Source organism: Homo sapiens, chromosome 17 (assembly GCF_000001405.40).
Source record: "Homo sapiens chromosome 17, GRCh38.p14 Primary Assembly".
Classification (NCBI taxonomy): Eukaryota; Metazoa; Chordata; class Mammalia; order Primates; family Hominidae; genus Homo; species Homo sapiens.
In genome coordinates, this window is record NC_000017.11 from 60,306,885 (window position 1) to 60,322,859 (window position 15,975).

Sequence of the window (15,975 nt, forward strand, 5' to 3'; positions counted from 1 at the left end):
CAGTAAACAATCTAAAAAAGAAATCCCAAGTGAGTAATCCAAGTTAAAATAGCTACAAAGAATATAAAATACCTAGGAATCAGTTTAGCCAGAGATGTGAAAGATCTATAAAAGGAAAACTATAAAATACTGATGAAAGAAATTGAAGAGGACACACACACAAAATGGAAAGGTATTCTATGTTCATGGATTGGAATAATTAATTTTTTTTCCTTTCTTTTTTTTTTTTTCTTTTGAGACAGTCTTGCTGTGTCACCCAGGCTGGAGTGCAGTGGCTCGATCTTGGCTCTCTGCAAACTCAACCTCCCAGGTTCAAGCAATTCTCCTGCCTCAGCCTCCCGAGTAGCTGGGATTACAGGCACGCACCACAATACCCAGCTAATTTTTTGTATTTTTAGTAGAGATGGGGTTTCACTATGATGGCCAGGCTGGTCTTGAACTCCTGGCCTCAAGTGATCTGCCTGCCTTGGTCTCCCAAAGTGCTGGGATTACAGGCGTGAGCCACCACACCCAGCCAGAATTCATTTTGTTGAAATGACAATACTATCCACAGCAATTTACAAATTCGATGCAATCCCTATCAAAATATCAATGACATTCTTCATAGAGAAAGAAAAAGAGAATCCTAAAACATACATGGAACCTCAAAAGACCCCAAATAGCCAAAAAATCCTGAGCAAATAACAAAACTGGCAGCATCATACTACCTGACTTCAAACTTACTAAAAACCTATAGTAACCACAACAGCATGGTACTGATACAGGAGCAGGGCAGGGAAGTGCTGGGTAGAGAAAGGCAGGTGCCTGGCTAGGGCTCCACCCTCAGGCCTGTGCCCACAGACCTAGGTGAGGACAGGCACTCCTGCCTTGGTGCCCAAATGTTGCATTTTCCAAGACCACCCTGGCCTGCCACGCCCCCAAGGTGTGCCTATAAAAATCCCAAGACCCCAGCAAGCAGAGACATACAATTGGCTGGACGTTGAGAGGAACATATCAGCAGAAGAACGCACAAGTGGCTGGACGTCCAGAGGAACACATCAGTTGAAGAGCACACTGACAGGCACTGGCAGATGCCGGCAGGCCACTGACCAGCAGAACGATGCGGAGTTAGGGTGGGGCAGTCAGAGGAAAGTACGGCCGCTGAGAGGCCCGACTCCAGGGGAAAACTGCCTTCCCAATCCCCTTCTGGCTCACCGTCCAGCTGCTGAGAGCTACTTCTACCATTCAGTAAAATCTTGCACTCATTCTCCAAGCCCACATGTGATCCGACTTTTCTGGTACATCAAGGCAAGAATCCGGGATACAGAAAACCCTTGCGATAATGCAGAGGGTCTAATTGAGCTGATAAATACAAGCCACCTAGAGACAGCAAAACTAAAAGAGCACACATTAACACAAACGCACTGGGGCTTCAGGAGCTGTAAACAGTCACCCCTAGATGCTGCCCCTGGTGTCAGAGACCCATAACCTGCCCATCTGTATGTTTCCCTAAAGGTTTGAACAGCAGGGCACTGAAGAAGGGAGCCACACCCCCATCACACACCCTGTGAGGGGGACAAGGGAACCTTTCCAGTATCAATACTGGCATAAAAGCAGACACACAGACCAATGGACGACAGAGAACCCAGATATAAATCCAAAAATTTACAATCCACTCATCTTCACGAAAAAGCACAAAGAAAATACAATGGGGGAAAGAACAGTCTTTTCAATAAATGGTGCTGAGAAAACTGGATAACTATACGCAGAAAAATAAAACTAGGCTGGATGCGGTGGCTCATGTCTGGAATCCCAGCACTTTGGGAGGCTGAGGCAAGTGGATCACTTGAGGTCAGGAGTTCAAGACCAGCCTGGCCAACATGGCAAAACCCTGTCTCTACTAAAAGTACAAAAATTAGCTGAGCGTGGTGGCGCATGCCTGTAATCCCAGCTACTCAGGAGGCTGAGACAGGAGAATTGCTCTAAACCCAGGAGGCGGAGGTTGCAGTGAGCCGAGACTGTGCCACTGCACTCTAGCCTGGTGACAGAGCAAGACTCTGTCTCAAAATAAAAAACAAGAAACTAGACTCCTCATCTTTCAGCATACACAAAAAATCAAATCAAAATGGACTGAAGACCTAAATCCAAACCCTGAAACTATGAAACTACTAGAAAAAAACATTGGGGGAAATGCTCCAGGAGATTGTTCTGGGGAAAAAAATTTTTGTGTAATACTTCAAAAGGGCAAATAACAAAAGCAAAAATAGACAAATGGGATTTGATCAAGCTAAAAACTTCTGCTCAGCAAAGGCAACAATCAATAAAATTAAGAGACAACCTGTAGAATGGGAGAAAATATTTGCAAAATACCCATCTTACAAGGGATTAATAATCAGACTGTATAAGGAGCTCAAACAACTTACTAGCAAAAAAACAAAACAAAAACAAACCCACAAAAAATTACATTTCTAAATGGGGAAATTCCCAGCATTTTGGGAGGCTGACACAGGCGGATAACTTGAGCTCAGGAGTTCGAGACCAGCCTGGGCAACATGGCAGAAACCCCTGTCTCTACAAAAAATACAAAAATTAGCTGGGTGTGGTGGCACGCACTTGTAATCACAGTTACTCGGGAGGCTGAGGTGGGAGAATCACCTGAGTCCAGGAGGCCGATGTTGCAGTGGGCCAAGACTGCACTACTGCTCTCCAGTGTGGGCAATGAAGTGAGACACTTTCTAAAAAAAATAAAGAAATGGGCAAATGATCTGAAATCTTCAAAAGAAGACATATAAATGACCAACAGGTACATGAAAAAATGTTCAGCATCACTAATCATCAGAGAAAGGCAAATCAATACTATAATGAGTTAAAATCTCACCCATTATATCGAAAAGCAGGCAGACTGGGCACAGTGGCACATACCTGTAATCCCAGCACCTTCAGAGGCCAAGGCAGGTGGATCACAAGGTCAGGAGTTCAAGACCAGCCTGGGCAACATGGTGAAACCCCGCCTCTACTAAAAATATAAAAATTAGCCGGGCATGGTGGCATGTGCCTGTAATCCAAGCTAGTCGGAAGTCTGAGGCAGGAGAACTGTTTGAACCTGGGAGGTGGAGGTTGCAGTGAGCCGAGATTGTGCCACTGCACTCCAGCCTGGGTGACAGAGCAAGACTCCATCAAGGAAAAAAAAAAGAAAGAAAAAGAAAAGAAAAGCAGGCAATAACAAATGCTGGTGAGGATGTGGAGAAAGGGAAACTCTTGTACACCATTTGCAGGAATGTAAACTAGTACAGCCATTGTGTAAATTAGAACAGCTATGGCTGTTCCTCAAAAGACTAAAAATAGAATTACCATATGATCCAGCAAATTGCTACTGGGTATATATCCAAAAGAAAGGAAATCAATGTATCAAAAAGATACCTGTACTAATGTTTATTGCAGCACCATTCATAATAGTCGAAGTTTGGAATTAACCTAAGTGCCCATCAACAGATGAATGGATAAAGAAAATGTGGTATATACACACAATGGAACATTATTCAGCCAGAAAAAAGAGGCTGGGTGCGGTGGTTCACGCCTGTAATCCCAGCACTTTGGGAGGCTGAGGTGGGCAGATCATGAGGCGAAGAGATTAAGACCTTCCTGTCCAATGAGGCAAAACTCTGTCTCTACTAAAAATACAAAAATTAGCTGGGCGTGGTGGCACGCGCCTATAGTCCCAGCTACTTGGGAGGCTGAGGCAGGAGAATCACTTGAACCCGGGAGGCGGAGGTTGCAGTGAGCCAAGATCGACCCACTGCACTCCAGCCTGGGGACAAAGCAAGATTCCATCCAAAAAAAAAAGAAATGCTGTCATTTGCAGCAACATGTTAAGTGAAATAAATCAAGCAGGCCAGGTGTGGTGGTTCACGCCTGTAATCCTAGCACTTTGGGAGGCCAAGGCAAGAGGATCACTTGAGCTCAAGAGTTTGAAACCAACCTGGGCAACATGGTGAGACCTCATCACTACCAAAAAACAAAAATAAGCCAAGCACAGAGAGACAAATATCACATGTTCTCACTCATATGTAGGAGCTAAAAAAAGTAGATCTCATGAAGATGAGAGTAGATTGGTGGTTACCAGAGGATAGGAAGAGTAGTGGGGAGGAGGGGGGAATACAGATAAGTTGATTAATGGGCCCAAATACATGGTTTGACAGAAGAAATAAAATGTAGTGTTAGTAAGGTGATTATAATAATCTAGTGTACATTTCAAAATAACTAGAAAAAATTAATTCAAATGTTTCTAGCATAAAGGACAAACATTTAAGGTAATGAATATTCCAAGTACACTGAGATTTTATATTTCCAAATTATGAATGGATTAGTGATCACATGTACCCCCCAAAAAATGTATCTATTATGCAACCCTAAAGGAAAAGAAAAACACTCTTAAACATTTTGTAGCCATGACTATCCAGTCAAAGACTTAATACACTGTTATACTAATATATAAAATTGATGTATGTGGTAATGATCTCACTAGCCTCCTTTCAGACAATGATGTCATCCCAGTAAATAATATGATTAACTCTGAAGAGAGGGAAATTTGTCTGTATTGTCAAAGAAAAAGACTTATAACATACCAAAAACCTACCTCTTGTCTAACAGTTAAGAGGTCAAAAAAGGGTAGATGTAGGCCGGGCACAGTGGCTCACGCCTGTAATCCCAACACTTTGGGAGGCCGAGGATGGTGGATCACCTGAGATCAGAAGTTAGAAACCAGCCTGGCCAACATGGTGAAACCCTGTCTCTACTAAAAATACAAAAAAATTAGCCAGTTGTGGTGGCAGGCACTTGTAATCCCAGCTACTCAGGAGGCTGAGGCAGAAGAATCCCTTAAACCCAGGAGGCGCACGTTGCAGTGAGCTGAGACTGCACCATTGCACTCCAGCCTGGGCAACAAGAGCGAAATTCCACCTCAAACAAAACAAAAAAAAACGGTAGATATGTGTAGGTCTCCAGAGTTTAGAAACAGTTGTAGCATGTTTCAACTGCTGCTTTCTGGTCCTGGTCATTCCACTGTCTAATGGATATAAGGTAAAGGGTTATCCCACAGTTCCTTAGGGGAAATAGTTAAGTGACAGATACTGTTTTATCATGGCTTTTAGAGTCAGAAAGGCCTGACATTGAAGCCAGGCTTTATTAATATACCAACTATGTGGTCTTAAGCAAATCACTTAACTTTCTGGGCCTTAGTTGCAGTCCATGACACATATGTTGAAGCAATGTGCCAAGTCGTCTCATTCCAGGACCTAAGCTGGAAAGCAGCCCCTGGGTGGGAAATACTATCTCAGGACAGAAGGCGGAAACCAGAGTTTGAAGTCACTTTGTTAACTAGTAAGAATTCAGCACTGATGAGCTCATAACTTTTGCTTGAAAATATTTTTCCAGAGTAAACTCTAGTACACCAATCTAACTGCTTGATTAATTCATCAACAGAACCAAATTAATGTTTTCAAATTTTCATTTTATATAATTCTCATGAGGATCAATACTTTTCCATTTGTTGTTGTTGTTGTTGTCGTTGTCGTTGTTGTTGAGACAGGGTCTCATTCTATTGCCCAGGCTGTAGTGCAGTGGCATAACCACAGCTCATCGCAGCCTTGACCTCCCAGGCTCAAGTGATCCTCCCAAGAGTCCTTGGGAGTCTGAGGACTCCCAAGTAGCTGAGCGCACAGGAACATGCCATCACACCTTGCTAATTTTTTCATTTTTTTGTAAAGATGGGATCTTACTATGTTGCCCAGGCTAAAAAATTTATCCTGACTGACACAGAGTTAAAAAGGAAAGTATACATAAGTTAAAAAGGCAAAAAATATATACCTTTCCAAAGAACTTGATGTCACCAACCTACATGCTTAAAAGCCATCTTTAGGTAATGACAAAGATGAAACATGAATTCACAAAATAAGTCATGCTGTATGTTGGTGAGCTTCGAAGAATAACTCAAACACAACATAAGGCCCATGGTATATGAATACATTAAGTACTCATTTGCATAAAACATACTTACTACTGATAAAATTTCAAATGTTAACATTTAATGCAAGCTCTGTGGCTGGGCACGGTGGCTCATGCCTGTAATCCCAGATCCCAGCACTTTAGGAGGCTAAGCTGGGTGGATCACCTGAGGTCAGGAGTTTGAAACCAGCCTGGCCAACATGGTGAAACCTCGTCTCTACTAAAAATACAAAAATTAGCCAGTCATGGTGGCAGGCACCTGTAATCCCAGCTACTCGGGAGGCTGAGTAAGGAGAATCGCTTGAACCTGGGAGGCAGAGGTTGCAGTGAGCCAAGATCGCACCACTGCATTCCAGCCTGGGTGACAGAGTGAGACTCTGTCTCAAAAAATAAAATAAAGTAAGATTAAAAAAATGCAAGCTCTGTTCCTATATGTGTGTGTTTTGAAAAACTTTTCCTTCTAAAACTAAAAATTATGTGTGTTCACATTACTGTTTCTTTAGTGCAGAGTCCAATAGAACAAAATGTTTCTTTTCTTCAAATGTGTTTCATAATACTAACCATGTCTTTCCTGGAAGTAAATATCATAAGGTAGAGTCATGCTTAGCTCCAAAAAAAATAAAGGGCCCCTTGAAATTCTGAATAAATAACAACATACAAATGCAAAGTATAAATTCCTGAAGTCTAAGCAAAGAACATATACTGAGGAAACAACTACCAGGGATTAGAAAGCGGAATAGTACCCAAAGCTCACATTGAGTTTATCAGTCAAGCAGAAGAGACACCTCATTGAACATCCAGAGCATTGAGGAGAGACCCCAAGAGTTAATCCTTAGTATTAGAGGTAAACCATACTTATACTAAAGTCTATTCAAGACTCACCATTACAAAGCTTTAACACAGGATTAAAGAGGATTAGCTAATCTGTGATTAAGTGTGTGCTAGAATAAAATCCAACATTTTAAAAACAAAGACAACAAATTCAGGTACTTATAACATAAGGTTTACAATGTTTACTAGATATCAAAAAGTTACTAGATACAAGAAACAGAAAATTGTAACCAATCACCAGAAAATTATGAGGCAAAAGAATGACAGAGATGATAAAAACTGGTATACAAGAAGTTTAAAACAGCTATTATAAATATGCTCAAGAATTTAAACAAAAATAAAAACATGGAAATAGAAACTATATTTTAAAAAGAAACATGAAACTTTAGAGTGAAAAATATAATATCTGAACTAAAAAGTTATTGTGTGGCTTTTTTTTTTTTTTTTTTTTTTTTTGAGACAGGGTCTTTCTCTGTTGTTGCCCAGGCTGGAGAATACAGTGGCATTGATCTTGGCTCACTGCAACCTCTGCCTCCCGGGCTCAAGCAATCGTCCCACCTCAGCCTCCCAAGTAGCTGGGGCTACAGGTGTATACCACTACTCCTGGCTAATTTTGAGTATTTTCTGTAAAGGAAGGGTTTCACCATGTTGCCCAGGCTGGTCTTGAACTCCTGGGCTCCAGTGATCCACTTGCTTAGGCCTCCCAAAGTGCTGGGATTACAGGGGTGAGTCACTGTGCCTGGCCCTGTGTAGCCTTAAAAGCATATTAAACACTACTGAATAAAAGAGCAGTGAACTTGAAGAAACAGGAATAGGAACTATCCAATCTGAAGTACGGTGAAGAAAAAGAGCTAGAACTGGGGGTGGGGGGAGGAAAGGAGAGAAAATAATCAGTCTCAGTAACCTGTGAAAAACCACCAAGCTTTTTACATACCTGTACTTAGAGACAAAGAAAAGGGAAGGGTGAACAGAAACATATTTGAAGAACAGTACTGAAACACCTTCCAAATTTGATGATAAACCTACCAATCCAAAATGCTCAAAGAAACTCATATGTAAGATAAACAAAACCAAACAAAGGTATATAATACATTCCTGAAAAATAGTAATACAGAAAATCTTGAAAGCACTGAGAGGGAAAAAGGTATAAAGTGAAACAAAAATAAGAATAATCACTGACTTGTAATCAGAAACAATGCAAGCCACAAGACAACAGAAGAAACAATTTTACTATACTGAAAGAAGAAAAAAACAGCCTAGGATTATATATCCAACAACAAAATGACCACTCAATTTTAAACAGGGCAAATGACTTAAATAAAAAGATGCAATGTCTTTAGTCATTAGGGAAATGCAAATCAAAACCACAATGACATACCACTTCACACCTACAAGAACGGCTATAATAAAATGAATGAGGCCGGGTGTGGTGGCTCACGCCTGTAATCCTAGCACTTTGGGAGGCCGAGGTGGGCGGAATGCCTGAGCTCAGGAGTTCAAAACCAGCCTGGGCAACACAGTGAAACCCCATCTCTACTTAAAATACAAAAAAATTAGCCAGGCGTGGCGGTGTGCGCCTGTAGTCCCAGCTACTCAGGAGGCTGAGGCAGGAGAATGGCTTGAACCCGGAAGGCAGAGGTTGCAGTGAGCCGAGATCACGCCACTGCACTCCACACTCCAGCCTGGGCGACAGAGTGAGACTCCATCTCAAAAAATAAAAATAAATAAAATAAAATGAATAAATAACAAGAATGTAAAAAAACCCCTGCAACATCTATACACTGTTGATGGAAATGTAAAAGGGTACAGCTGTTCTGGAAAACAGCCTGGTGGTTCTTCAAAAAGGTAAACATAGAATTACCATATGACCTGACAATTCTGTTCCAAAAAGAATTGAAAACAGAGATTCAAACAGATACTTGTATGCCAATATTCACAGCAGCATTATTGACAATAGAAGAAAGGTGGAAACAACCCATAAAAAGATGAAAAAAATGTGGTATATACACACAGTGAAGTATTATTTAGCCATAAAAAAGAATGGGTGTTTGCAGCCATTACAGCTCTCTAGCACCTTTAGCTCACTGAGCTCCTGCAGAGGGAGCTGAAGAATAAGTAAATAAGTCTCTATAGCATGGCCTGTACAAAACAGATTGCCTGCAAACTGACCATGGTAAAGCACCCACGAAGTAACTAGCCACAAAAGCCATTCACAAGAGTGCACCCTCTATTGGAGGGGTAAAGAAACGTCATCATTACAGGCCTGGTCTGGTACTCTGTGACACTGAACCTTATCACAAGTCCACTGAACTTCTGATTCACAAACCTCCCTTCCAGCATCTGATATGGGACTTCAAAACAGATCTGTGCTTCCAGAATACAGTTACTGGTGCTCTGCAGGAGGCAAATGATGGTTGGCCTTTTTGAAGACATCAACCACTCTGCTATCCATGCCAAACATGTAACAATTATGCCAAAAGACATTCAGCTACCTTGCCGCATATATGGAGCACATGCTTAAGAATATGCTATGATGAGTAACATTTCATTCTCAAAAAAAAAAAAAAATTCTCTCTTCCCTGTTACTGGTAGTTCTGAACCCTAGATTTTTTTTTCCCCATGGGGTGAAAAGCTACCTAAGTAAATGACTGCAAGTGGGAAAATGGGGAACGGAAATCAGGTATAGGGAGTTTTTCTATTTTCATGTTGCAAGAGAATTTTTAATATAAATATGGGTATGTAAAGCATTAATGCAAGTCAAAGTGCTTCAGTGAGCACGTTTCCGCAGTTCAACTAGTAAGTACGTATTTTTAATATTGTCTCTCTTCTGTGTTGTTCCTGTAACTACAAAAAAAGGAATGGGCCAGGCACGGTGGCTCATGCCTGTAATCTCAACACTTTGGGAGGCTGAGACAGGGGGAGCACTTGAGGTCAGGAGTTCGAAACCAGACTGGCCAACATGGTGAAATCCCGTCTCTACTAAAAATACAAAAATGAGTCGGGTGTGGTGGTGGGCGCCTGTAGTCCCAGCTACTCGGGTGGCTGAGGCAGGATAATTGCTTCAGCCTGGGAGGTGGAGGTTGCAGTGAGCAGAAATCACACTATTGCACTCCAGCCTGGGCAAAAGAGCGAGACTTTGACTCATAAAAACAAACAAACAAACAAAGGAATGAAGTTCTGATATACGCTACAAATGGATGAACCTTGAAAACATTATGCTAAGTGAAATAAGCCAGACACAAAATGGCAAATATTGTATGATTCCACTATATGAAATATTTAGAACAAGCAAATTCATAGAAGTAGAAAGTAGACTGGAGGTTATCAGGGGCTGGGGAGGAAGAAGAATGGGAAATAATTGCTTAACAGGTACAGTATTTCTGTTTGGTGTGATGAAAGAAAAATTATTTTTCCATGTAAATTTGAGAAAAATGGAGTGATGAAAAATGTTGAAAGTAGATAGGCATGGTGATTGGGCAACATTGTGAATGTAATTAATACTACTGAAATGTTCACTTAAAGGTGATTAAAATGGGCCAGGCACAGTGGCTCATGCCTATAACCCCAGCACTTTGGGAGGCCAAGGCACAAGGATCACTTGAGCCCAGGAGTTTGAGACCAGCCTGGGCAACATAGTGAGACCTCATCTCTATTAAAAAAACTTAAAAATAAGCCAGGCATGGTGATGCATGCCTGTAGTACCAGCGACTCGGGAGGCTGAGCTGGGAGGATTACTTGAGCCAAGGAGGTCAAGGCTACAGTGAACCATGATCAAGCCACTGCACTCCAGCCTGGGTGACAGAGTGAGACCCTGTCTAAAAAAAAAAAAAAAAAAGTTAAAATGGTTAATTTTATGTTATAAATCCCAATACTTTGGGAGGCCAATGCAGGAAGATCGCTTAATGCCAGGAGTTTGAGACCAGCCTGGGCAAAATAGCGAGACCCTCACCGCTACAAAATATTCAAGAATTAGCTAGGTGTAGTGCCATGCACCCATAGTTCCAGCTACACAGGAGGCTAAAGAGGGAGGATTGCTTGGGCCTGGGAGATTGAGGTACCACTGCATTCCAGCCTGGGCAACACAGTGAGACCAGCCTGGCCAAAATGGTAAAAACCCGTCTCTACTAAAAATACAAAATTATCTGTGCATGGTGGCATGCGCCTATAGTCCCAGCTACCTGGGAGGCTGAGGCAGGAGAATCACTGGAACCCAGGAGGCAGAGATTGCAGTAAGCTGAGATGGTGCCACTGCACTCCAGCCTCGGCGACAGAGCCAGACTCCGTCTCAAGAAAACAGAAAACAAACAAACAAAAAAAACAGCCAACTGGCTTTTGTTATTGATCATGACTGTTAAACATTTTTAAAATCAGTGGTACAAATTGTGACATAGAAAGCATGTGTATCAGTTTTGTAAATGACAAAGTTGGTAGGGATGGCTAAAAGGTTAACAGAATTAAATCAAATTCATCTTAGGCTGTGACACTAGGCTAAAAGCAACAAAATTAAATTTAATCTATTTAAACTGCAGTTTCCTTATAAACTCAGCATATATAAAGATATAGAAGAAGATCAAGCTTGAAATTTTTAGCCAACAAAGTGATGACCTTTTGGCTTGTTTAGGCTAATACAATTTTATGCTGAATGGTAGTGATTAAAGAATTATATATTCTCCTGTTCACTAATCTAATTCCATCTAGAGAACAGCATGGGATTAACCATTATGCATATTAACTGTGGTTAAGAAGCAGCAGGGAAAAGGACTTGTTCACATCTCTAGAAGGGAAAGTTCCAGTTTCCCAATTCAAACAGCTGAACTCTACCTCCATGAAGCAGAGGATTTCCAGTTGAGACTCAAGTAAAGACAACAAAAATTTCAGGATTATGAAACTGTGACAAAATCATTAGTGGCTTTTAGCTGCACCCCCACCTCCAAACCCAGAAAACAAGGCTGGGACTAGGTCAGGTGAATTTACAGAATTGTTTTACTGCCCCCAAACTTAAATGGAGTAGAACCAAAACACAAAAATTTTACTGAATTAATGATATCCTACATCATTTTCAAGCTGGTGTGCTACATCAATTTATAACATCCAACATTTAGCAAGATACAAAAACGGTAACCTTGTAAGAGAAATGTTAGAGAAGGATGTGAGTGAAAAATTGACCACTTTTTAAAATAAGTTATTCGTTACAATGGGATATTATTCAGTCATAAAAAGGAATGAAGTTCTGATACATGTTACAACATGAATGAACTTTGAAAACATTATGCTAAGTGAAATAAGCCAGCTACAAAAGGACACATATTATATGATACCACTTACGTAAAGTAATTTGAATCGGCAAATTCATAAAGACTAAAAGTTGACTGCGTGTTATGAGGGTTTAGGGGAAGGGGTTGGGAGCATTAATGGTTAATGAGCCGAGTTTCTGTTTGGGATGATGAAAAGGTTTTAGAAAAAGATAGTGGTGATGGCTGCAAAATATTGTGAATGTAGTTAGTGTCTGTGAACTGTACACTTTAAAATGGTTAAAATGGCAAATATTATGTTTTATATATTTTGCCACAACAAAAATTTTAAAACATAGTAAAATACAGGGACTCAGATTAAGAATATTCAGATAATAAATACGAGTATAATAAACACTTAGATAGAAAGTACTTCTGTGAGCTAGGCACAGTAGCTCTTGCCACAACAAAAATTTTAAAACATAGTAAAATACAGGGACTCAGATTAAGAATATTCAGATAATAAATACGAGTATAATAAACACTTAGATAGAAAGTACTTCTGCGAGCTAGGCACAGTAGCTCATGCCTGTAATCCCAGCACTCTGGGAGGCTGAGGCGGGCAGATTGCTTGAGCCCAGGAGTTTGAGACCAGCCTGGGCAACATGGTGAAACCCCATCTCTACCAAAAAAATATAAAAATTAGGCAGAAGTGGTGGTGCGCACCTGTAGTCCCAACTACTCAAGTGGCTGAGGTAGGAGGATTGCTTGAGCCCAGGAGGCAGAGGTTGCAGTGAGCCAAGATAGCGCCACTGCACTCCAGCCTGGATGACAGAGTGAGACCCCATCTCAAAAATAAAAATAAAAATAATACAAAATTTAAAAATACACTATAACAACTATTCACGTAGTATTTACATTGCAATAGGTATTATAAATAATCTAGAGATGATTTAAAGTATACGGGGGTGAGGGGTGTGTGCATACTAAACATTTTATTTAAGGGACTTGAGCATTTGCAGATTTTGGTATCCTGGTGGGCCTAGAATCAATCCCCAACAGACACCAAGGATGACTGCGTAAGTATCTTCAATATCAGCATTGGAACTCTTCTCTCACACAATATATTTTCAGGGAGTAATCTGTTGAAAATCCCAAACTGTTATTTAAACAAACTACCAAGAATACAATTAAGTCCTCATTTAACATCATGGATAGGTTCTTGGAAACTGCAACTTCAAATGACACCAGGTAGAATGAAACCAATTTTACCACAGGTTAATTGATATAAACAAGAGTCAAGTTCCTGAGGTATGTTTCTGGTCACAAAAATATCACCAAACTTCTAAATAAATACCCCAAAACATTTCTAATATTAAACATTGAAATAAATGTAAGCTGTACATACATTTGAGGAAAATTAATAAAAACAAGTAAGATAAATTACTATATCTACCCAATTATTACTGTTCAGTGTCACAGGTAATCAGAGCCTATGTCAGCAGCTCAAGGGCACCATCCCATCACACGGCACACTCACGCAGACATCCACACTCACTCAGACTGGGACAACTTAGACATGCCAAGTCATCAAACGTGCACACCGTTGGGATGAGGGAAGAAACCGGGGTACCTGGAGAAAACCCACACAGACATGTGGGGGAGCATGCAAACCACACAGTGGCCCTGGCCAGAAATTGATGTTTTTTTCATCAACATTATAATGAAAAACAACACCGAATGAGTGATGAGATGACATTATTTGAGGATGTGCTGCACACAGTTATATAAACCTATTTAGTAATCAAGGAAGAGTTTCCCTAATAAATAAAAATATTTTCAGAAAGGGTAATAAGCAATAAAACTAGCATTTTAGAACATGTACAATGATTACCAGAATTCCAGGCAAATGTCACATGCAGGTTCCAGGAACTAGGACCTGGAGATCTTTGAAGCCATTATTTAGCCTACAACCCTCTCCAGAGTAGCTATGGTCCTAGGAGAATGGGACAAATTCTCATTGCTTTTTTTCCCCCATCTCTGTCCTCTTACCTCCTACAGCTTGGCTCCGGATACAGACGCAGTAGCACAAAGTATATGGCACAGTAGTATAACTAAAAACCCTAACTCTCTAACCAGAGGACTGAAAATCGGAGATCCAGGGAAATAGAAAGTAAAAAGAATATTGAGGAGAGGAAGAAGCTCAGGAAAGTTGTCTTTTGAACTCCTGGGTATACCTCCCAGCTGTATATGAATGGATATAAGCCTAAATTGCTTATCAAAGTCTAAGAATTAAAATTCAGCATAGACCAAAACCCAGGTCCCAGTCTAGCCACTGGGTGGTACACATATGGGACAGATACAAATACCACTGCAAAGACTCTAAAAACTTAACTGACATTGGAACTACAACCAACGTAAGACTGGTGGGAACTGATGCCCTGAGCCCATCATTATCAAGGATCTGATAAAACAAATATACCGACATCTCCAAAGCAACAATCAGAATCTCATAACACAATATTCCAAATGTCCAGAATATAATCTGAAATCACTCAGCACATAAAGAACCAGGAAATTATCATCTCAATTAGGAAACGACAATCAATCAACAGGTACCATCAATCAGGTGAGACACATTGGATATAGACAAAGGCTTTAGAACAGCTATTACAAAAATTCCCAAAGAAATGAGGGCAAACATTCTTGAAATGAATGGAAACACAACAGTTTAAACATAGTAACAGAAAATACAGAAGACCAAATGAAAATTTTACAATGAAAAATACAGTAACAACAACAAAAAAATTTTAAGCCACTTCCCTAAATCTATCAATTGGAAATCTGGAAAGACAAGCTTCTCTTTTAACAGTGACCATTCGTTGTGATGGTCAACTCTATTAATCATTAACACCTCAGTGGTAACTATTTTAATCAGATGGCTTTTTTTTTTTTTTAGCCCTAGTGATACTAACTGAAAAAGAAATTGTCTTTGACCTTTGCCACAACTTTAGTCATCCCTTTGCAATAAAGTGCCCATAGCTGGCATTCAATGACTGTTGAGAAAACTTAATAAACAGAAATAAATAGAATAAAAGCATGTCTTTATGAGACAGAGAAAAAAAGTTAAGTAAAATGTGACAACTAGATACAAAATAGGCCCACTGTTTTATAAGATGTGTTTAACATAAGACTCAACATGCTGGTTCTTTAAAGTGAACTGAGTAGGTAACTCTATAGGCCAAACTTTTTTTTAAGGTTATTTTAAGATGAGTTCTTGCCATGTTGCCCAGGCTTGCCTCGAACTCCTAGGCTCAAGGGATCCTCCCACCTCAGCCTCCTCAGTAGCTGGGACTACACGAACATACCACTATGCCTGGCTCCCTAAATCATATTTAAGTGTTTAAGATATTGTTCTTAAATCAATGAATTTAATAAGCATTATACTAAAAGCCAAGAAAAAGCATGGCATATACAACTTGAAATCCACATGGATTTCATTTTGGCTCTCTGTATTAGTAAATCTTCACAAAAATTTATTTATACAAAATTAATAACTTAATTGGTATTTTAAAAATAGATTGTAATAAATAGATGTAATTTCAGAAAAGTTCTGATGTTTGTTCTACACACTAAAAAAATAGAATTTCAAAAAAGGGTCAAGATTAGAAAACACGAAAATTAACTGACTCAGGGTTCAAAAAAAGGAGATAGTCCCTGGGTTCTAGACTTGGAGTTACATTTATAGAACCACCATATAAAATATAAATACCATATATCAACATTAAATTTGGTTAACAATTACTTTAACATTTTAAAGATATTTATTGCTAAAAAACAGAAAACTTTAACATTCTTCAAAGCACTAAAATGGATTGAGCCAATTATGCCAATTACAAATTTCCATATACATATACACCACATGAATGTA

General features: G+C 39.9%; 1 protein-coding gene and 1 pseudogene across 9 annotated transcripts in view, besides 1 other annotated feature; one reads left to right on the plus strand and one right to left on the minus strand.

Annotated features, from left to right (window-relative positions):
• Positions 1-15,975, minus strand: part of USP32 (ubiquitin specific peptidase 32) — a 245,090-nt gene that overhangs the window by 129,558 nt on the left and 99,557 nt on the right. The window contains exon 1 of one of the 9 annotated variants that reach the window (XM_047436944.1): positions 2,635-2,710. The exons of the other annotated variants lie outside the window; for them this stretch is intronic. The gene's annotated coding sequence lies outside the window, so the exon portion shown is untranslated. Of the gene's footprint in view, positions 1-2,634; positions 2,711-15,975 lie in introns of those variants that run through there. 9 annotated transcript variants of the gene reach the window in all.
• Positions 8,175-8,234: a silencer, noted in NCBI's record as "silent region_8787". NCBI's record gives its function as "represses an Ori minimal core promoter by ATAC-STARR-seq in GM12878 lymphoblastoid cells {active_cell/tissue: GM12878}" and the evidence as "EXISTENCE:reporter gene assay evidence [ECO:0000049][PMID:35858748]".
• Positions 8,950-9,331, plus strand: H3P42 (H3 histone pseudogene 42; annotated as a pseudogene).